General features: G+C 39.4%; 2 annotated features.

Moving 5' to 3' along the window:
- Positions 10,330-10,499: an enhancer, noted in NCBI's record as "experimental_13640 CRE fragment used in MPRA reporter constructs". NCBI's record gives its function as "activates a minimal promoter by MPRAs in K562 erythroleukemia cells, with activity observed for the non-introgressed 10:64266932 or rs78993715 variant allele {active_cell/tissue: K562}" and the evidence as "EXISTENCE:reporter gene assay evidence [ECO:0000049][PMID:34662402]".
- Position 10,414: a transcriptional cis regulatory region, noted in NCBI's record as "Neanderthal adaptively introgressed variant 10:64266932 (GRCh37/hg19 assembly coordinates) or rs78993715 in the experimental_13640 CRE". NCBI's record gives its function as "modulates activity of the experimental_13640 enhancer by MPRAs in K562 erythroleukemia cells {active_cell/tissue: K562}" and the evidence as "EXISTENCE:reporter gene assay evidence [ECO:0000049][PMID:34662402]".

The following is a 24,594-nucleotide window of genomic DNA, read 5'->3' as shown; positions in this document are numbered from 1 at the left end:
GCATCAGATGAGGAACTCTCAGCTCCATCAAGATTGGTCAGGGAAGCCTTCCTGAAAAAGGAGAAATTGAAAGCAGATCTTGAAGGAGAAACAGGAGTTTGCCTGGTACTCAAGGGATTTTAGTGAGGTCATTCTGGGCAAAGGACATTCTGGGCAAAGGGAATAACATGTACAAGAGAGCACAGGCCAGAGGGAAACATCAAGTACCATAGTTTATTGTGTCTAGGACACATAATCTTTCACATGTTAACATTTGTAAAGTTAGGGTCTATCTTTCATTGATGACAAGTCATAGTTTAGCTGACAGTGCTCCCCCTCCCTGACCTCCCTTTGTGGAATATAAAAGAGTGGTGTGTCTTAGAAACAATAGTGCATTCGATTTGGTGAAATATGTTTATCCATTTTTGGCTTGAGCACACAGAGGCATGGTAAATGACTGGCTAGGATAACAACACACCAGAAACGCATTAGGGCTCACGCCTAAAAGAGTTTCCCTCTTTTTACTTCAAGAACTTGGGTTCCTTTGAAAGGTTTTAAGCAACCTTGTGAACCAGATCACTCCTGAGGCAGAAAGACCAGTTAGAAGGCTCATGACATACACTGTCCTGGCAAGAATTAAGAGCGCCTTCTCTAAAGGCATAGCAATGGAAATGGGGTGATAAAGTTCAAGAACTGTTTGAAAGGTTGAATCAATAGGGATTCATGACAGACTGAATGGAAAGTAAGGGAGTAAGGTTTCTGATCTAAGAGTTTGATGGGCAGAGGTATCAGTCATCAACATTGGCAATATGAAATGGAGAATGGGGCCAAGGGGAGGAAGAGGAAGCAGGGTGGGGCTGTGATGCCTGTAGGAAATATAGATAGGGATCCAAAGTTAGCATTCGCTGTGTGGGCCTGAGGGTAGAAGAAAAATCTAGAGAACCTAGAGTCTTGAGGGTCAGTGATACAATATATGAATATTAGCTGCAGCTTTTGGCATGGTTAAGTTTCTCCAGGAAGAGAATATTGGATGTATTGGATGAAAAAAGACAGTAGGCTAATGGATAAAACCCAGAGAAATCCAATCCAAAAGAAGCAGGTAGAGAGGAAAATGTAATCCTCATGCCCTTCCTGATGATCTAGGTTGCATAAACAAAAAAAAATCTGCAGACAGCATCACTTCTGGGAAATTACCCCTAGATATCTTCTTGTTTATTTTCTATCAGCTTGATTTTCCTTTCAGTCTCTTGTTTTATGAATTACTAGTTCAGTACCACAGTTTTAGTAGTAGGGTAGGATAAAAATTCAAGAAAAACAAACAAACAAAAAAACAAAAAGAACTCTTAAAGGCAATACCAAAGGCTCAGGCAGGCAGTGAAATTTAGAGGTCAAGAGCAGTTAAAACGAAAATGCCAACACACATAAGAAAGGTGAAAAGATGGCCGGGCGCGGTGGCTCACGCCTGTAATCCCAGCACTTTGGGAGGCCGAGGCAGGTGGATCATGAGGTCAGGAGATCGAGACCATCCTGGCTAACAAGGTGAAACCCCGTCTCTACTAAAAATACAAAAAATTAGCCGAGCGCGGTGGCGGGCGCCTGTAGTCCCAGCTACTCGGGAGGCTGAGGCAGGAGAATGGCGTGAACCCGGGAAGCGCAGCTTGCAGTGAGCCGAGATTGCGCCACTGCAGTCTGCAGTCCGGCCTGGGCGACAGAGCGAGACTCCGTATCAAAAAAAAAAAAAAAAAAAAAAAGTGAAAAGATGCATGAAATTTTAAAGATATGAATTTATCTAAAGATAAATTCACTTAATTTGATTCTTGAGCCCATCCTCCCTGGGAAGTTAAAAAGAGTTCTAACTTGTCTTTATTCCAGCATTACCACAACACCTATCATGTAATTGAATCAACAAACGAATTCAGCCTAGTCAATGTCCATCTTGCCTTCACTGTGCTCATTCTTTCAGTTTCCCAAGTAGCATACTCTAATGGAAAGAATAAAGAATTTACAGCCAGCAAGATCTGGTTCAAATTTTCACTTTGCCACATACTAGGTGAGTGGATTTGGGCAAATTATTCAATCACTTTTTCTCAGTGTTTCCAGTTGCAGAATGAAGAAACACTTTTCATGGTTGTTGTACAAAATGAGTGCTCAATATTTAGAGCTCGAATTCACATTAGTATTTGAACTCAAGTAAAAGTCACTTTAGAGCCCATGTTCAAATCCAAGAAGGCTATTCTCTGACCACCACTTCGGCACATAGCAGATCCCATCTTGCCCTAATTTGGTTTTAGGAAACAGCTGATTTTTCAGAGACTCTATTGCAAATGTGAGAGATAAAAGATGCATAAACTTCCCTCAAGGAATTTACTATCAAGAAATAAAATATAAAACATTAAAAAATAACTAATAAACACAGCTATATTTATCTATATATTCACAAGTCCATAAGTGCATAGAAAAAAAGCATGAAAAGACACACATCAAAACTGTAACAGTAATTCTTTCAGAGTAAAATGTGGTACTGGGAGATTTTATTATACTGTATGAATTTTACACAATGAAAATGGGTTAGAAATTAAATAAAATGAGAGATCCAAAGGAAAAAAAGAAAAGACAACTAGTAAATGGAGCAGCGTAAAGAAAAGAGTTCCCTTTAGCCAATAGTTTTCAGAAAATGTTTCACAGTTAAAGGGGGTATTTCAAATGAGGCTTCAATTTTGGGTGGTTGTTAGGTGGGCAGATAGATGGAGGAAAGGCATTCCTGGTTAGGATAACAACAAGACAAAGACAGAGGTGGGACTGCCCAGACCAGCTTAAGAGACGATGAAGACAGTAGTGTACTGGAAACACTATTTGAGTAGACAGTATAGGACATAATATTAGGATACTAAACTGATGCTAGATAATGGATGAAGTTGAATATCGGGCTAAAATATTTAGAGTGTTAGTGCCCAAACTCGCATATTCCAGGAACTTTACGAAACCTTCAGACTCTCTCCATTACAAAATTAATTTTGAATTCTAATCATATTTTAGATGGTTTCAGCTAAAACATCAGGACTAGTCGCCAAAAAGAAAAGCCCAGCCTGGGCATGTTGCCATTGTAATTCCATAGGCACTGGGGAGCCATGGAAGGTTCTTGAGCAGTAGAAAAATGTGTTAGGAGTATCTCTCTATGGAAGTAAAGACAGTGCTTTCAAGGAGCATTGTTGTGAGATAAATACAGCTTTGTTTACAGTTTATTTTTCCTTCACACCTGCCACACTGTGAAGGAGGGTTTGTTTGGTGTCTCTTTTGTCTGACTCATCACCCACTGATTAGCTCGGCCATGAGGGAGGCAGCTGCAAGTGCTAGGGGAAAGGCACAGACTAGAGTGAGTTCCAGATTCAGTGTGACCTGGACCAACTCAGTCTGAGCTGTTTGACTTGCATTCAAAAGATGAAACAAGATTCTGTTGTTTTAAGATGACAAAACGTCACCAAGTATTCCAGATTCAATGTGAATAAGAAGATGTATATATGTCTTATAAGGTAGGTACCCTTATTTTCCGCATTTTTAAAATGGGTAAACAGGAGCACAGAGTATCAAATAACATGCTGGGGGTCACAAAGACTACTTAGGGGCTAAATCCTCATTTGAACCCTGGCAGTCTGACTCCAGGTTCCATGGCCTTAGCCATCATGCCGTGGTGCTGTTTGAATTTTATGCAATAAGGATGTGTTTGTATTTTGAAATCCCCTTATCTTCACCCATATCTATTTTCTTTCTAGGCTAGCTTCTCTTCAGGCTGTGAATCCGGTTCTTTCCAGCTCCTTCAGTACTTTATCAACTGCTTCTCAGTCTCTCTTTCCAGAGGCTCCTAACCCTGATACTTGCCCAGATAATCTCCAATCTTAAAAAGCAAAATCATTTACGTGCACTCGAACTCTCCTCCTCTCTCTCCCCTTCTTTCGCCATCAGGCTTCTCGGAAGATTAATCTGAATTATTCTTCATGGACACCTGAGCATCTTGCAGAGTGGTTTCTATCTATTTCAAGCCTCTACTGCAGCCACTTTCTCAGAAGCTACCTGAGGCTTGTAACCACCACCATCCCATGACTTTTTTTGCCACTGTTTTGCCAAACGTCTCTGTTGCATTTTACCCTGTGGACCATACTTTCCTTGGGATTCTCTGCTCTCTTGAGGGCCATGACATGGCGACCTCTTGCTCACGCTCCTTCCTGTATTCCCACTCTGCTAACTTTGCACTCTGGGTCCTCCTGCCCATGAGTAGGTGTTCTCCAACAGCCTGTCCTTGGCTCTCTCCTCCTCATTGCTGCGCCTGCTTCCCTTGATGATCTCGCCCACACCCACATCTTAAATCATTACCTCCCTTTGCATCTCTGTTTCTAGTCCCAGCCCCCTCTGACATCTACAGTTGCATTCCCAACCTACTGCTGAACAACTTGATCTGGAGGATCAACATGTTGCAAAGAAAGCCCAGGTGTATCCCCTAGAACTCTCATTTCACATGGCCTCACTGTCAATTGAGGACCTGGGATGAACATCTCTAGGATCATTGCCTCACTGTCAATTGAGGACCTGGGATGAACATCTCTAGGATTAGTGCAATTTTCATTCTGCCTGCAAGAACTATCACTTAAAATGGTGACTCATTGCTCAAAGCTCAGTGAATGTAAAAAATTAACAGGGAATATGAAGTGTAAACATGAATCAGATGGAGGAAGAAAGAACAGTTCATATTTTATGTCGGCTGTTTAATCAGGACACATTTTCATGTATTGCTGATGTATTCCTTTCCCTGTCAATGGTTCCAAAAGAGCCATCATAATTTACCCTATTCTGTAACTTCTACAATCTCTTAGAATGAGGGTCTCCTGGAATCTCTTCAGATGAAAATGTATTGGGCACCTCTCTTTCAAACAACACATTTGAGACTGTTTTCTCTTCTTTGATTAAGATCATGAAAAACCTTTACCCTGGTGACAAAATTAGAGTTTAGTAGCAAACCAGAAGTAACTAAAAAACTAATATCCATTAGAATTGTCCCTTTTAGCACAACCAAAAGCTATAGAATAGAGAATGGGAAAGATCTCTTTAGGCAAAAGAAACTCATACAAAACAGACAGTAGATTGTTCTCTTTGTGAAGGCCTCCAAGAATGGGCACTCCATGTTCTTCTCTGGTAACTCATTCCAGCAATTAAACAACTGTTATGAATCCTTGGAACTAAAAGTAAGAGGTTTAAATTACATGCAGAAATACTTAAATGAGTTTTGGTCTGATGTTCACAGGATCTGTTTCAGAACTATTGAGTCAAGCTGGTCCTCTTGGTTTCTCCCTGATAAAGTTCTCATGGATATGTTGTAAGGAAGCTCTGGGCCTCCTCTATCCCCCAACACTGACCAGGGAGGAAATCATCCTGAGGGCAGTGAGTTATAGGTCCTGCAACACAGCGAGTTCATTAAATGTGTGAGTGAGTGAATGAGTACACACACAAAAGAGGGGCAGAGGGAAGGCAGAAAGGTGGAAGGAAGGGGTTCTAGAAGAATTCAGATTATCAAGGGCTTGACTGATGGGCATTGGGATGACAGGGATACCTAAGAGGTTAATAAGCAACTGGTTGGAGGCTGTAATCAGTAAACAGTCTCTCTTTCTCAAGTGGGCAGGCTCTAATTAACCTTTTGATATTTCCATTCATGATGTCATTCTTTTGTGGTACAAACCCTCAGAAACTCCTCTCCAGGCCTTCTAGGCCTTCTTCTGCAGTGGAGAGAACCAAAACCACACGTACTCTGTCTCTTATCACTGCTTACCTAATTTGCATGTGCCTTTTCCCATAAGAAGGGGTCTTTGGCCAGGGAAACCAGGAATGGAGTCCACACAGTGCCTTGAACAAGAACTGTGTCTCTTTTTAGTCAGTGTCTGATCAACTTCTTGGCTATCCTCGCTTTTGTGGTTAAAAGAGGGTAAATCATTCCACAGATCTGCCTGGTATCTCACTATGTTTCCTCTTAATATGTATTCAACTCTCTGTTTCTCCCGGTTAACTGTAATCTCTCTCCTACTTTCTACAGATCCTGCCTCTGAATGAGACTGCCCACTATGCAAGTGCCTTACCTGTAGTGCACACTTAGCAACCATTTGTTAAACAGAAGAATGAATAAATGAATGAATGAATGAATGAAAACCCTAATCCTATCATCAGTCATGTCAGCACCTTCATCTTTTTTCTTAGTAAGAGTCAAATCAATCCTCGTGTTTTGCCAACTTTTCACAGAGAAGGCTTAGATTCGAAATCTCTGTAGACATAATAGGTTTTCTGCTTTCTTTCCTTTCTCCATTTCAACATTCAGAAAACTCACACTGGAAGATAACAGGGCCCTTTCTGAGATTCTTCCTGTCTTCCAGAATCTTTTCCAGGGGAACAGAGCTGCACCAGCCTCAGGTGCCCAAAGGGTATCTGTCTTTCTCTCCAAGAGGAAGGCAAAGCAGTTTGTTCATCTCAGCCTCCTCACCCCCCAGAGGCCCGGTTTGGCTCTGCATTCACAGACACGTGCCCTGTCTTCCTCAACACATCATGGACTGGAGCATGGGAGAAAGTCATGCAACATAGTCAACAGGTCTAGCCTCAGCTTCCCAATACCCACACACATAAAGTTAAACGGAAAGCAATGAACAACACTGGTTGGGGGTGTCCTTGGAAACCAACGGCCTCCATGGCTGACCAACAGCCAAGGCTCCACTCAACCTCAGTGGAGGACCTGAACTCTGACCCTTAGCCTATTACCGAGCAGTGGTGTGATCTTAGATAAAAAACTGAACCTCTCTAGGTCTGTTTCTTCTTCCATGAAATGGAAATAAATAAAATTTTGCCACTAAGAGCATACAATTTCTGTGAAAACCAAAATAATGTAAAATCATTGCCAGGTGTGAATGAAGTCACAGGGGAATATAGAAGAAAAATGATTTGCCCAAATTTCCAAAGCTTTTTTTCAGAGTTGCATCCAAACTAACTCCAGGACTCAACTACTCCATTTGGAGGGTCTCAGACTCCCAACCTCCTCCATCTTTCCATATCTGTGGGTGAAAACTCTGCAAAAACTGTAATGTGCTAGATTTGATGTGCTGTTATTATTATATTTATAACATATAAAGACTGTTCTCGACTCTTATCCTATAATATCACGGCTGGCTTATATGCTCTTACCTTTCTTCTTTAAAAATAAAAAGGATAAAATGTTATTCTTTTTTAAAAAAGCAAACTTTTATGCTTGCTTTATCTTTTAGTAGCAGACAAATAAAACAGCAACAAAAGACCTTTTCTCTGTGGTCATGAAATATATTTCCCTTCTCTGTAGCTCTACCTGTGCATAGATACTATGGTTACAAGGAGACCCTTATCTATTGTAGAATAGAAATTACTGCTCACCTTCTTACCCTAGCCTCCCAAATCCTTCATGGACTTTGGCCAAAGTCCACTGAAAGATGGGCAAAGAGCAGAGATAGAATTCTGGGTGAAAGTTGTGCAGGGTGATCCAAAAGGGGGAAAAAAATCTGCCAGAAGCTATTCCTGGGTTTGCACAATTACTAGAATGAGAAAAAATGGAGAGAGGGACAAAACATCTGGGGATGATAAGGCGGAAACAAGCAAACTTGGGAATTAATAAAAAATACTGTTTTCCAGAAAGGAGCATAGCACTTCAAAACAGATGTTTGGGCTTGAAATTTTCCAGAACAGAACAAATGAGAGGGAAGAAGCAAGACTAAGAACTGGAGCACAGTGGGACCTTCATAAAAGAACCACTGGCCCTCAAAGAGTTAACTGCATTTTGAACATGCTCAGGTCCTTCATCTCTCACTTCCAAATTCTATCCCTTCAAAACACACTTCTCTGTCCATACATCTCCAAATGCACACAGAAGTGTACTTAGTAGCTAACTCCTGAAAAAATTCAAAAAAGGCACACCAATGGAAAACGCCAAGCTGAAGGCAAATCTCCTTTGCTTCTGGGTAGGGAGAAGAAGGGAAGAGCTAGGCAGAGCTAATGATGTCCTCTGAGACTGAGGCTGAGTTACAAACACAACTGAGGTCCAAGTTAGAGATTCAATCTTAAGAAAAGTGGCTGCTTTTTTCCTGCTCATTTCTCTTATCTACCCTGGGAATTAGGCGTATGTTGGAGTGTCCCTAGTATCTTCAGGGACACGGAGACAAACGTGTCCCTGAAGATACTAGAAGGAACATTCAGAGTTTCAACATTAACCTACAGCTGAAGGAGACATTGTTCTTGGCCCTCTGTATCTGGTGTAGGAGGGTACACATTACAGGGTGTTAGAAGCTCAGAAAAAGACTAAACAAGTCATAATTCACTTTAAGACAATCACAGCTATAGTAGATCTATATTTCTATTCAATTACGCCTTGCATTATGCAGCTGTTGGAAACGCTGTTGACCTGATCATATTTTCTTATATATTACAAGGCAATTCTTTCATGTTCCAATAAACAGGTGACTCTACAGCACTGCTGTCCAAGAGATATAATGGAAACCACATATGGAATTTAAACTTTTCTAGTAGCCACATTTTTAAAAAGGGAAAAGGGAAAAAGGTGAAATTAATTTAACAATATGTTGTATGTAATATACTATATCCAAAAATATTATCATTTCAAAATATAATCAACATAAAAATATTCTTGACATATTTCATTTTATTTTTGCATTAAGCCTTCAACATTTGGTATGAATTGTTCACGTGCAGCACATTTCAATTTGGATTAGCCACATTTCAAGTGCTCAATAGCTGATGTGACCAATGGCTGCCATACTGGACAGCAGTCACTGGTTTGACATAGTGATTCTCCTTCTACCCTTTATTTTTGGCAAATTATATCTTAACCTTCTTGAAAGAACTGCCGACAATGTTTCATCAAACATATCATAAAACATAATACATATCCTCAGTTGAAGCAAAAACAACTTTTACACCACAATTAAAATTTGGTGGAATTCCTGTGAAACTATCAAAAATATCAGCATGTCCTGACTTACCTGGTGAGAATAACTAGTAAGTGAGAGAAAGTGGGGCTGAGAAGGGAAAATATGTTTCTACAAAAAGATCCAACTGATAATTATCGGAATGTCTCTTCCATAATAAATTGTCAAATCAAAGCACTTTGGAATATCTAGTCCAAACTTCTTAAGTAATAGAGATAAAGAGCCAGGTAAGTTAGTGTTTGATTCAGGGTTACCCAGAAACTAGTGCCAAGGTTTGTCTTAATGATATATATAATTATATCATTAATTATTTAATATTTAGATATATTTATGTTAATTATATAATTATGCATCTAATATATATTATTATATAATTATATACACAATAGAATATATTATATTATGTTTGAAATACAAATATATGTTATATAAATTTTAGCCTAATTTATGTAGTATAAAAACCAGCTATAGCTTTAAATAACCTTCATTTAAAATCATCTTATATTTTCATTTAAAATCATCTTATATCATTTTTGTGATATTGTAATGTTATTGTTTAGTACATTTGCTGTGTAAATACTATTAACTTTAAAGTTTAGAAATGCCCACATGTTGAAAAAACAACCAAATTAATCTAAATTAACTATGGAGACAGGTTGAAGGAAAGAACTTTTGCCTTCTGTCAAAATAACTCACATTTTTGAAGGACAGCCAAGACACTTAAAGAACATGCATTTGCATTCAGCATTTATTGTAACAAACAACAACAGGAAACATAATTTAGAGACACTTCCCTTTATTAATTTGCTTTTCTGAAGTCAGTTGTAAGTATGATGATTCCCACCCACCCTTTGTTTCTTTCCCCTAGGATGGTGCCTAACCACAATGAGGCCATAATTGGAGAACATAGGAGGATTGATTTGAAAATGTCACAAATGTTAATCAACTCCCATTGACATAAAAGACTCGTTAATTCACTCTGCAGGCAATCAGGTTCACCATGTCTAGGGCATAGTGTAAGGAATGAAACTAAATGGCTGAAAAGGCGAATAAAAGACATTTTTGAATATTTTAATTTTAAAGTGGAATAGCAAAAGATGTAAATCTCAGAGTTAAGAGTTGCCAAAATACACTAGGCTTTTATGTATACTGCATTTCAACTAAGTGGCTCTGAAAAAAATTCTTTGACCACAGAAGAGTTTTCATTGTCTAGTAATCTCAATTCCCTGCTAAATCTTCAGCTATGATTTAATCTATGCAAGTTATAATGAATTTGTTTTAGTGATCCAAAAAAGGGAAATAAAACTGCATTTTCCTTCAATCACTCAGCCCATTTTAAAAGATTATTTTTATAAATGATGTTAAATTGACTTGATTTTCACAGTTGCTTTCAATTAAATCAAAATGACTCTTTCTGGAATGTGCAAAAAATAGAAACGTATAAAAGCAAATCATTTGAAAAGTGGATAATGTGCTACCCACAACTTCATTAGAAATATTTTTTATTGAGTAATATTTATTAGAATAGCATATCCTTAACCTTGATCATACATTATCTATAAGTCAAATTTGTGTTGAGAAATTTTTTTTTGCCATGGATTATTTCCATGTATTTCATTTGTCAACTGAGAAAAATTTGAGTGCCTCTATGAGATACCATGTAGATTACCTCTCTATAAAATTTATACCTGGCTAAGGAAGTCATTACTGAATTATGGAAACTCCTTGTCAGAAACTGCTTCTTAAAATATAAAAAGAAAGACAAAATGGAATTTAAAAAGAAAAAAGATAATTAAAAAATCTTTACATGGTCTGGAATCATTTGCTAGAATGTGCTTTTATTCTCGGTATCCTAGACAGTCAATTACCACTTATTGGAGAGCTATAGTTAACAGTTAACGACCATATGCCTTGAATGAGTGGGCTTGAGGAAGAAAGCACAGAAAGGGGGCCACATTTCACATCTGGACAGTTCAGAGCCTGGCTTAGCTGACAGAAGGGAAATACAATAGAAGGTGGGCCTTAAGTGGAAGTTAGAGACTCACAGAAAGAGGAACTTGGAGCCAGAGGGAGGGTAGAAATTCAAGCCCCAGGGATCTTGCATGAATCTCGAGAAGTCTGGGGTTAGAGGGGCTCTAGCTGAATTTTGGAAAGCAGGGGTCTAATGAAAACCCAATTAGATCTCTTGAAGGTGACTGATTCCCAAGTCTGTGTGTGGGTATGGCTGAAAAGGGGAAGGCCTCTCAGTTTCGCTACAAGAAAAGTCTCTCTTGGCTTTACATTCGTAAAACAATATGGCAGCTCTAGTTTTATCCAAGCAGGGCCCACCTATAATGAGTACCTATTAAGCATTTCTTGAATGCAATTGGGAGCCCAAATGAGCAAACCTAAGGGAGGTTGTCACAATTCTAGAGATGGTAATATTTCTAGAGCCACACAAGAACTGTTAAACAGTAACAAGCAAGAATGTGCCAGTAAAAATCAGTAAAACAATGAACCTCACCCAAACCAGTCAAATCTGCTTATTGACTTGACTTGCTTTTCTTAACCAATTTGTCTTGGGAAGTAACTTTTTCTTTTTCCTCCGATCAACCTAATCAGCAGGTATCCATTCACATTCTAATACATTGTATATTTAAAAGAAAGCTAAATCTGAATTGAATCAATAACACATTAACTACTGAAGAAGTCTGATTCTTTTCTCAAGATCTCTAGGAATAATTTTCAAATAAACCAACCACAAAAACCACCACTGCTTTGGTAGTAATTGGCTTCTAAGGATGATATTTTTACTTGACTAGATACCACTAATGAACAATTACAGTAGGCTGGTCTTAATGACAGCCTTGACTTGCGGTTGCATTATTGAATGGTCCCAATGGCTGATGACTTTCTTTTGTAACCAGAAGTACCCAATTTCGCAGTCCTGTGACTTTTTAACCGATAATCCACCTTGGAAGAAGGAAGCCATCCTCATCATTGAGAGTTGAAAAAAAAAATATTTTTCTTGTTGCTATTTCAAGATTACATTGAAAGACAACTCAGTAATTTGCCACCGAATGACATAACATATTCAATATGCACAATTTTATGGCTAGCTCTAACTTTTGAGGCAGGCTATCATTCAATGAATCTAAAGACAGCTGGTTGTTAAAGAATATGGGGAAGGATTTTATCCTCAACTCTCTATGGACAAAAATGAAATAATCAAGAATAAGGAAAAGATTCTATCTTTGTGATTGCAAAGGAAGAAATGCTAGCTACCAACCTGTCTGTGGCATACAAATTATAGAGGGTTTGGGGGTGGTTCCTCAAATTAACAGATCTATTTAACAGCTCTAATTTACTTCATAATCTTCTGGGGTAGGTGATCACGTAAAATCCAGCCAGGCTTTTGAGAAACATTATCTGTAACAACCAAAGCTCACCCAGGACACTGGGTGCCAGTCACTGACAGACAATTAATATACAGTAGGAACATAAACAAAGTAAGGCAAACAAGAGCATCAAGGATCTTGTTTTTAATACAAAACCAAATTAGTTTATCTTAATGAGCAATTTATCTCTCTCTCTCTCTGAGCAATTTATCTCTCTCTCTCTCTCTCTCTCTCCCCCTCTCTCTCTCAAATGGAAGTTCATAGTAGAGTTCACAGAGGCCTTTGGGGTCAAACAGATCTGGGTTTGAATCCCAAATCTATCATTTTCTGATGATATGTACCTGGGAAAGTTATTTAAATTTATTGAGCCTTAGTTTTTTCATTTAGAAAAAGTAATAATCATTTAGAAAAGGTAATTATCATCAGGATAATACTAATGGTATTTACTTCTCAAGGTTGTAAGGATTCACTGAGATTAAATGTGAAAGTCTGCTACAAAGAGGATACCCAGCAAGTGCCTTTTCTTCCTCCTTTAAAGACAAGTTAGAATTAACAGAACATTCCTCCTTAATTAGGAAGTCACCATTGAATACTTCCTCTACAAATCACCTAGAGGCAAGGGGAATATCATCTGCATAAGAAGACAAGAAAAACGTATTCATTTAATACATATTTACCTAAAATGTATGCAAAGCCTACATAGCTGCCCTGTCACTGGCAGTCTCTTTTGTCATCTTCATCAACCTTGGGGCCTAATTCAGCAAAATCTTAGCCCCAGATAGCAAACCATCCCACAAGGACTTAGCAAGCAATGTAGATTTTATTTTAAAATTTGTGAGCAGATGACACAAAATTTTGTGGAGAGGGAAGAGGGTTTTAACTGCAAACTACATGCAAAAAAAAAAAAAAAAAAAAACCTCGATAAAATCCTCTTTGAACCCTTTTATTTACTCCCATAGCCTTTTTTAGATTCTAGCTACTGGCTGTCCCCTTCCCCAACAGAACCCATTCTCAGAATCTCCGCTATTGTTCCAAACAATTCAGCTTTGACCCCAAAGTGGTGCACACTCCAAAATAAAGCAAAAAGCTAAGATAGTTTACCAGGCCAAAACTCTCTGGAAGTCCCTTAAGCAACAATCTGTGGTTATCTCAACATGCCACTGGAAGTGAGGCTGTCACTCCAAATGTAAATGATGATCTAATTATTTACATAACAAAAGCAAACATTTCTAGCTTGGGGGTTGGGGGGGAGAAATTCTCCATTAAGAAAAAAAATTAGACTTTCTCTGTATCTTTACTTTTACCATACACAAGGCACCATAGCAAGCACCGTGGAAGATATGAGCTTGTACAAGAAATAGAATGTGGGAGATGTATTAATGATCTATTTATGATGTTCCCTATGATAGGAAAGCAGAAAGTTCCGGTATATAGGGAATTCCTTACAGAATATTATTATGGGTAAGGGCCTTTGGAAAGAGATTAAAATATCAAAGTAAATATGTTTTGGGTTGGAATGTAGTGATTTGACATTAGTGAATCAAATATTCACTAATCTTTGAACCAGTCTTGGCACTGGTTGATGAGAAGAGAGCTGGCCATAAAAATGTTACAAATTACTAGTATTTGCCTCCCTGACAATGTTAAGCAGTTGATCTGAAAATCTGGGTCCAACCCAATAGACCAGAGAGGTACAGCCTATCTTCTAATAATCAAGAGGAGAGAGTACTAGAAAAGACTGAAGTAGCACTTGCCTCATGATTTCAGGAATCATATTATGAAATTCTTCCAACTCTGAGTCGAGGCCTTCTAATCGGTGGCCAATTGGAAACCACTGGGAGCTAATAAAGAGGGAAGTGAAGTGATGCAATCAGATTTTTTGTGAAGATTACTTTGACATCTCTCCACAGAATAGCTTAGAAGTAGGAGAGAAGGAAAGCAGGACAGCCACATGTGAGGGTCTAGATTGAGTGGTGTAGGAGAAAGAATGGGTGCACAAGTGTTGAGAACTGCTTCGAACAGGGTTTCAAAAAACTGCTGACTGATCAGATATAAAAGGAGTGAAAAAGAGAAGAGTCAAATATGACTGATTTGATCTCAAGTTATTGAGATCATAGTAATACCATTAACGGAAATGGGGAATTTGAGAGGCCAATCTAAGATTGGGGTTAGGCAAAATTAGTCAAGAAAGATTTAATGCACCCCAATCACTGGACAAGTTGCCAGGGATTCAGCAACAAGAAAACTCAATATGATTGCTATCCTCGTGGAGCTCACAGATGGGGGGAAAACCAATGTCATGTAGATAACTACAGATAGTTAACATTAACAACAGGTGAAATAAATTTTGTACAGTTGCCAAAAAATGGAACTTGTGTTACAGCTTCGGATTTAGAAATGTCTAAGCTACCTTTTATTTTTAAATAACTACAGAGAGGAGAAAAAGGTACAGGCAGCTTTCAAACCTCAGAAACCATTTTATATTCATAGCAGCATTATTCACGAAAGCCAAAAAGTGGAAGCAACACAACGACATCAACTGATGAATGGATAAATAAAATGTGGTACAGTGAAACATTATTGTATCATAAAAAACGAATGAAGAGGCCAGGTGCGGTGGCTCAGGCCTGTAATTCCAGCACTTTGGGAGGTCGAAGTGAGTGGATCACCTGAGGTCAGGAGTTCAAGACCAGGCTGGCCAACATAATGAAACCCCTTCTCTACTAAAAATACAAAAAATTAGCTGGGCGTGGTGGTGTGCGCCTATAATCCCAGCTACTCAGGTGGCTGAGGCAGAAGAATTGCTTGAACCCGGGAGGTGGAGGTTGCAGTGAGCTGAGATTGTGCCATTGCACTTCAGCCTGGGCAACAGGAGAAAAACTTCATCTCAAAAAAAAAAACAAAAAAAGAATGAAGTACCAATTTATGATATAACATGCATGAATCTTGAGAACATCATGTTATGTGAAAGAGATCAGTTATAGAGCAGCACATATCGTATGATTCCATTTATATGAAATGCCCAGAGTAAACAAGTCCATGAAGACAGAAAGCCAATTAGGGCTGGGTATGGGGAGATTTTGTGTTGGGGGGTGAGAGCTAAGAGATGTAGGGTTTCTTTTGTAGATAACGAAGATGTTCTAAATTGATTGTGGTGATGGGTGCACAACTCTGTGGGTATACTCAAAGAGATTGAATTGTACACTTTCAATGATTGAATTGTACAGCATGTGAATTATATCACAATAGAATTTTTTTAGATATGTGGCAGAATATAGAGGTAGGCTATGGAAGAGAAAATATTTTTAAAACCTAAGGGAGTTTGTTTTTTAAGTTCGGTTATGGCTAAAGTGATTAACAACAGGTACAATTCATGAACAGTCATTCTCTTCTATACTGGCCATGATTTATGGCTTTCCACAGTTACCACAGTTTAAATGTCAGATGGTTAAACACAAGTTCTAGCTCAAAGTTGTGTAATAACTTTGGGTGCTAGAGAGTAGAGCATATCACAGTTGGTCATACTCAGGACTTTTGCTTAATCACTGAGTCACCTAAACAAGGCTCTTGGTTTAGTTCACTAAGTTGTAATTCAGTTTCCCTATCAGCATTTTATAGCAAAGTTTCTGAAAAACAAAATATTTTTAGTTCCCATTGATGTGCTTCCTAATTTCCCTTTAATCAGAATTGATTTCCTTCTTATAGGGGTACTAATTTTTGTGTCATATTTTTATTTCTCAAAAAGGGATTTTAATTTTTTTTTCTTCCCACCAGGTGTTAAGAGATCCTACAATGTGAATCTGATCTAGTCAGGGTGGTCAGGGAGTGCTTCCATGAAGAAGGGACATATACAGTGGGATCTGTAGGCATCTGATAGGCAAAGAGAAGAGGAGGAAGAATTTCAGACAGAGGGAAGAGCATGTGCAAGGGCACTGGGACAGAAGAAGCCATAGCCCTGTTCAAGGCTATAGATGTATTAGAGGCGATGAACTACCCAAGTAGCATTACCTGGAGGTTGTTTTTGGGTGCTATGATAGAGGTCAGGAGAAAGAAGACTCTTGAGTTGTCATCAAAATAGAAGTGCCCACAGAAGAAAGAGAGCAAGAAGTAAGAACTGAGACTGGGGAGATGCTTACAAGTAGAACAAAAGCTGGAGAAGAGGAGTTGATGCATAACCTCTTGGGCAGGTAGAAGGGAAACCAAGTGAGTACAAAGTTATAGCAGTAAAAGAGGAGAGATGGACAGAGTGATCAGCTGTGTCAAATGCTAGATATATTAATGAAGGGGAATGAAGATCAGAAAAGGATCAGAATTTGTCAATAAAAGTTCAAGACACTTCCAAGTTTTTAATAATTGTCTAACTCTCCCTCCCCACATGAAGACACTGGGAAAGTAGCTGAGAATCAAAAACACAACACTGGTCTCAGCTTGTCCTAAAGGGACCAGCAGGATCAAATTGTAATGAACTTGACATGTTTCCCCCATAAAGTGAGTTTTTGTAGTGATATGTGCTCTAGTGGATAGCAATGTAGGGGAAAATAAGTAAAAAGAAAATGTATCTTTTGCAGGCATATCCCAAAAAAACTCAAAGAGTTATTTTGGAAGACTAAATCAGGTTTTCCTTTAGCATTTTTATTAGACCCAAATGAAAACAAAGGCTAATTTAGAAGCCAAGCATTGATTTTCCCATTTGTTAATATTATGTCTTACAATGAGTTTTAACACTGAAACTCATCTAATATTAAACAGAAACGGTTGAGTTACTTGTTGATTTTCAATGGCTGTTTTTCCCCCTGCATTCCTCCATGCATTTATTTGTCCTTGTATCAACAATTACTTGAGCTTTACCATATGCAAAGGGGAAGGCTTTACTTCTCTTTGGAAACATAGCCTTCCCTGTTGCATACAGTATTTCCACAACACACAGTCTTCTGATTCGGAGGAAGTGACATGATGGTCTATATTTCAACAGTTCTTTTACAGTGAACTAACAACTTTATAGATGACACCATGACGTTAGGCTTTGAAACTTATGCGAGGGTGAGGATCAAGGAAAACAGAGATCTTTTCGAGATATTTATAATACTCTCAAAGGAGGGACCATTTGGATATCATATTAGTTTCCTGTTGCTGCTGTTGTAAAGGCTGCCAATAAATTACCACAAAGTTAATAGCTTACAACAACACAATCCATTATCTTACAGTTCAGGAGGCCGCAGTCCCAAATCAGTTCACTGGGCTAAAATCAGGGTGGAATCAGGGTTGGCAGAGCTGGTTCTCTCTGTATCCTTTTGGGGAGAGCCCGTTTCTTTAGCTTTTCTGGATTCTGGAGTCTGCCTGCATTCCTTGGCTTGTGAGCCTGTCTTTTCATCACTCCAGCTTCCATCATCCCATTTCCTAAATGTTCCTTTGACCTTCTTGCCTCCCTTACATAAGCACCCTTGTGATTAAATTTAGTTCCCATCCAAGTAATGTAAGATAATCTCCCCATGTCAAGATCCTTATTCACATCTGCAAGTCCCTTTTGACATACAAGGTAACATTCACAGGTTCCAGGAATTAAGACATGGATGTCTTGGGGGTGAGGGGCAGTCAGCCTACCACAGGTGCCATCCTTGCCTGGGATCTCCCTTCTCTGAGAAGTAACTCTCCATCCACAAAAGGAATAGGAACCTGTTGCCATGTTTGTACCATACCTCTTGGCCAGAGTAAATTAGGGGTGAGCACTTCTCCAGTGGATCTGTATTTAGGAAACAGATGCTAGCAAGACCCTGGTGGCATTGCCCAGATCTGCCACAGAAAGACTCAAAGCTGGGCTGGGATTTCAGCTGTGCCTCATGGTGCCTTTTGAATGCAAATGTTAACAAGCTGTCTACCACTAAGCTGTAAACACTAAAAGGATGGAGCAGTTTAATCCATATTTCAATCTCAAGGCTTATTTGTCTTGTTTATAAAGTTTAAAAACAATTAGAAAAGTTTTGCCAACCATTAAAACTTGCCAATCATTTCTTCTTGTCACTCACAATATCATAAATGGCTATGAAGAAAACCCAATGAGGAAATTCAAAGTCAAGATTAATGCCCCATTTATTTGTATAAGTAAACTCAGTCATTCATTTATCAGCTCCCACTAAATTGCATTAACTGTGTCTCCAGATTATAAATCATTCTTATTAAACGAGAGGCATTTCAGTGGTGAAGCTGGGCACTCTAGCCAAGGAGATAACTCACCCCAAATGCTCCTAAATGGAAAGGCTTGCATCTCCTTGATTCTAAATGAAGGTTAAGGTTCCTCATTGCTTCTTCTTCACCAAAAATATTTCATTTCACATCAGTGAAGCCACAATGATAAAAATTACTAATTTCTTTCTTTATTTTAAATTCTTAAATGTATTTCTACTCCCCCACTGCCCTCCACCCCCCCACCAAAAGTTTAACCAAAGACAAAAGTGCCCACTTCTGAACCACACTTAGATCTTTTTTGCTTTTTAAAGACCAAGAGTTTCTTGGCTCACTGAGGCTCTCATGATGTGTGGCACAGGACAAAAAGGTGCTGCGCTGTCTACAAAGATCTTAATTGCAATGGCTGAGCCCTAAAACCCCATTCTAAATTATCCATTGTCCTTTGTATGCAGCCACTGTGCCCCATCGTATCAGATAACTGCAGCTAACATTCTGTGGGCAAACATGGCCCCATTCATTCCATCCAGCAGTGAATAATTCATATAGCAAGTTTTACCCTGGGCAAAATACACTGACATCAGGAGGCATTAAACTAGAGTCATTCAAGGAACAAAATGGTTATTCATGCTTTCAATGTGAACCACTAAATCTTGCCAGTTAAGTTAATGAATGAATTAACTCAATTCATCAGACATATCACACAAGTCCATAAAAACACAGTTGCACGAGCAAGCTTCTTACTTGGAGTATTCTTACCTGAGAGCGGAAATGCCAGTCATTGTGTCAAGCAAGTCTAAACTTGGTTGGGTGAAAGAGGGGTTGTAGGGGAATCACTGCTTTGCTTGACAGCCCCCTTAGAAGAAAATGGTTTCCATTCAACATTTTTGTTTCATCTTGTTCTTAAACCCCCCTCCTTTTCTTATTTAACCACCCACCCAAAGCCAAAATAATGGCTCAAAGCAATTGGCTTCTCTCTATAACAACTAATCTTTGCCTACTGACGATGGGCTTGAATATATTTGACATTTGTTGCCTAATGCTGGCTGCACATTCGCTGTTTGCTTTTTAAAAGAAGGATACAAATAGTGGCTACACGTGCCTTTTGGAAATTATTTTCCAAAACCAAATACACAGCACGTTTGGGGACTCCTGAAATAGTGCTCTCTTTTGGACACCAGTCTCAGCACTGGCTCCAGATAAGAAGGGTCTCCCACAGAACCCTTACTTAGCCAAAACCTTCCTCCCACATGGGTCTCCAAGGAGAGTCAAAAATTCTCCAAAAGTTGGAGAAAGAAAAGGGAGGTTTCCAAACCACACAAACGTACACATTTTCCAAACAACTTCTTCCAAGCAGCTGACACTGCCTTCCTCCTCAAGGAAGGAAAGAGACCCTGGGCTTCATTTTTTGAGCACCTGCAGTTGGACCTTCATTGTGAAAGCCAGATTGTTGTATTTGAGGTTTCCAATCAGAATGGAGAAATCTGGAGAAAAGAGTGAAGATGACAAACCAAACACACGTAAGAGGGAAGCAATCAATACAATCCAGGCTGAAATGTCCAAACCCCCTTTATGAAGGTGTTTTGCAGCATCACCATATTCCTATTTCTGTGATTCCTTCTCCCAAATGTGTAGATCCCAGGTAAATGTTAAATTCTTGTGAGAAGTTGATTTTAGACTTTCAGCGTTTAACAAATGAGAATATTTGAGGATATGAGATATACGCAAGTGGGAAGAGGAAGGATGAGCACTTGATACATGTTAGCTCATTGAAGCCCACCTCTCAGTCCGCTTTCTTAAGATACATATTTTTTCAGTGAGATCCAGAGAGGTTAAAGAACATGCTCAGCTAATAAGCAGTGAAGCTGAGATTTGATTCCTAGGACTTCAAAGTCTGTTCTCTTTCATCTGCCCTCCACTGCTGAAAGATTATGATGCAATAATTCTTTCTAGGAAAGAAGAAAAGAATTAAATCCTAAGCGATGTATTTAAGTATTCAAGGTTTGTGCCAAACCTACCTTTCCAAACACATCCCTTGCTCTTTTCTTTGATAAAGCTTCTCTAGCCAGTCGGATCTTTCACTGTGCTCTGAATCAGCCAGCTATCACTCAAAGGCACTTATAATCTAGTTAAGGAAATATATATGCACAGTGAGAATAAATAAAAGAAGGAGGAGTGACCAAATTTCTTTTTTCAGAAAGTGCTGATTTTCACAATAAATCAGTTTTTTTCTCATTGTAAACCTCAAAGACTTTCAGTAAAACAATTAACATGCACGGAGGCATTTGTTCTTGTATGGCTGAATAGACATACCAAGTCCAAAATTTATTGCCTAATACTTTTCAGACAACTTTCACTCCTCTCCTATCTGTCTCTTCCACCCATTTATCCAGTGTTGAAACAAGAGGACAGGGGAAATGGGATGCTCCATTTATTTCATTTTAGGTGGATAAATGATTTTTTTTTTTTTTTGAGATGGAGTCTCACACTGTCACCCAGTCTGGAGTGCAATGGCGCAATCTCGGCTCACTGCAACCTCCGCCTCCCAGGTTCAAGCCATTCTCCTGCCTCAGCCTCTCGAGTAGCTGGGATTACAGGTGCCCACCACCACACCCAGCTAATTTTTTGTATTTTCAGGAAATACGGGGTTTCACAATGTTGGCCAGGCTGGTCTTGAACGCCTGACCTCGTGATCCACCCTCCTCGGCCTCCCAAATGATTTTAACATTGACTTAACCTTGCCCTCTATACAAAGTTAATGAAGTTTAGGGGAGGAATGGTAGCTATAAAGATATTGAGAGAATAGATAAAACTTCATTATTGACTATGAATTACATGATGGTATTGTATCAAAGTTAAGTAGCTGATTTTGATGATGATACTGTGGATAGATAAGAGAATGTCCTAATTCTTAGAAAATTCACCCTGAAGTATTGGAGTAAAAGGGGAATGATATCTCCAACTTAGTCTCAAGTGGTTCAGAGAAAAAGAATATGAGAGAGCATAGGAGAAAGTGGCGGTGGGAGGGAGAAAGAAAGAGGGAGATGGAGGGAGAACTAGAAAGCAAATATGGCAAAATATACACAGCGGATGAATCGGAGGAAAGAAAATTCCTCATGTGTCCTTTTTCTAATGTTTCTCTAAATTTCAAGTTATATCAAAGTAAAAGGTTGCAAATAAAAATGTTCACGGAATTAGTTTCAGGATCTCCTGGGGAAAATGTAACTGACAATTTGGGAGGGAAATAGCTTTAGAGAAATCCCAGGCAAACCCCTTCGGTTTAGAGATGGGGAAGCTGAGGCCCAGAGCTGGGTCAGTGCCTGGATGAAGAGCTGTCAGAGGCACACAGCAGCAGCATCCAGCTCACAGACTTCTGAGGGGTATCCTTCAACTGTGCTGCCTGTTTTTCTCATACACTTTTTCTTGACTAGTTTAAATCCCCTTTGATTACCTTCTCTGACTTTCTCAACTTCCCTCAAATCATTTTTATACACTTCTCCAAAAGCGTATTCCCTGCATGGCACACTAATTCTGCAGGATTTTAATAGATTTAATAGATGTTATATAAAGAAGTCTGTGCCCAAATAAGCTTGGGAAATATAGGGTCAAACAAGGTAAAACAGATTTCTTTAGTGGAGGACTTCTCAGGGCCTTTACGATGCTAATGTGCACATTGTAGGAGAGGAGGGCGAGTGTAATATGCCACATTTTCCAAATATATTTGGACAAGGGAGCCTCTTTTTTTGTGGAGTCTCAGGGGCTACACATTCCAACACATTTTAGAAAATAGGTGGAGCAGGATAGAGCAGCCAATGAGTCACGACTAAATGCTCCATGACAGATGTCACGTGTCGTTTCTTTCATTCAGCATCATGAAACTCCAATGTTTCCTGCACTGTTGCGACTTCTTACATGGTGCTGCTAAAACAGGGACAGTTTATAGGGCTAAGTCCTAATTCTTACTTTGAATTGACAAACTACATCTTTGGACAAATCAGCAAATCCCTTTGAGTCTGTTTCTTCATCTGTGAAAGAGAGGTGGTATCCAGGAACAGAAAACCAAACACCGCATGTTCTCACTCATAAGTGGGAGTTGAACAATGAAAACACATGGACACAGGGAGGGGAACATCACACACCGGGGCCTGTCAGGGGTTGGGGGCAAGGGGAGGGAGAGCATTGGGACAAACAGCTAATGCATGTGGAGCTTAAAACCTAGATGACGGGTTGATACATGCAGCAAATCACCATGGCATATGTATACCTATGTAACAAACCTGCATGTTCTGCACATGTATCCCAGAACTTAAAATAAAAAAGAAAGAGAAGTGGTATCTGTATTACAGAGTGCTTTGTGGGTAATGAATGTGATTTGTGGAAGTTCTTCATACTCTATAAGTGGACCACTGCTTAAATGTAAATGTAGCATATGACTTGTAGCACTAAAGGTGGGGAGCTCACTGAAAAAAAAAATCAAGTAAAATACCATTGCAAACTGTGGAGGACTATAAAGAAGGTGGTTTACATAACAGTAATCTGGCAGAAGGGGTTTAGGGAGAATTGTGTGTGCAATTCCAGATTTGGTAACAACCACGTTTGCAAGTCTATTTGAAAAGCAAAGAATGGGATAAGAATTGGCAGATGCTCCGAATTAAGATACAAATGGAGAATTACAAGTATTGAATTTGATTTATCATTCATTGACAAGAAGGACTGATGTGAGGCTTCTGTCAACATTTCAAATAATATATATGTACACACATACACACATATACACACACACACACACAAACATATATATATATATATATATATATATATATAGAGAGAGAGAGAGAGAGAGAGAGAGAGAGAGACTTACTATTGCCCAGGCTGGAGTGCAGTGTCATGATTATGACTCACTGCAGCCTCAACCTCCTTGGATTAAGCAATCCCCCCACCTCAGCCTCCCAAGTAGCTGGGGCTAAAGGCATGTGCCACCACACCAGGCTAATTTGCTGTTGTTGTTATTGTTGTTGTTGTTTAGAAATGGTGTCTCCATTTGTTGCCCAGTCTGGTCTCAAATTCCTGGGCTCAAGTGATCCTCCCATCTCACTTGAGTGTTGGGATTACAAGTGTGAGCTCCTGGACCCAGCTTTGATATTTTCACTAAAAAGCCTCAATTTCCTAAAAGGCAGCCAGCTCTTTACCTAGGGCAGAGGAGCTTTCCTTGCATTTAGCCCATATTGGAAGAATTGTAGTGACTTCAATTACCCAGCACATGTCCTCACCTGCATTAAGCCCCACATTCAGCCAAAGACACCATGGCAGTGTTTCCTAGGTCCCATCACAGCCATAATTTCTTATCAACATACCTCCCAATACATAAGCTAGTTCTGCTGTGGTTTTATTAATATTCCATGGATGCAAAACATCTCACCAATCTCAAAATTCTTTTACATAAATTACGAATGTATCCCTCTTCTCAACTGTTCTTTGAGGTGGACTTGACTGATAACTGCTATTCCCATTGTAGAGAGGAGGACACGAAGGCTCTGGATAGTAAGTGCAGTCTTTCCCTAAATGGAGGTCACAGTGCTGAGATGAGGCTACTCTGACTCCTGGTCCCACACCCCTGCCTGCCTCTAACTCTGTGCCAGTGTTTTGCCCACAGGTCAGAGGCAGGATTGATAAGAGAGCTAGTCCCTCATTTTAGCAAAAAAGGTGGTCATTTCTCCAGTAGTCCTCAGTGTTTCCCTACATATCTCTCTACCTGGGCATTTCAATGGCAAAAACTGTACCATTGAAGAATCTTCCTGTCTTATTCCTTTCCTTGAAGTCCTGTCTTACCTGGCAAAATCTTTCGGAAGGCCACACCTGAAACAGACCTACAAGGAGGTGAGAGGAGAAAGTCATTGGCAAAGACACTCTCAGTAGGGGCTAAGAACAGACCAGAACTCTGGGAGTGGAGGAAGGGAAAGCTAGGCTGAATAAGGAGGGAAGAGAGTGGCTTGGACCACTTGGGCCTTCTTCCCCGTGGTCAAAAAGAAGCCCAGGCGTTGCAAAGGCTCCCATGTGCATGT

Source organism: Homo sapiens, chromosome 10, assembly GCF_000001405.40.
Source record: "Homo sapiens chromosome 10, GRCh38.p14 Primary Assembly".
In the NCBI taxonomy this organism is placed as follows: Eukaryota; Metazoa; Chordata; class Mammalia; order Primates; family Hominidae; genus Homo; species Homo sapiens.
This window is presented reverse-complemented; position numbering and strand designations above follow the sequence as displayed.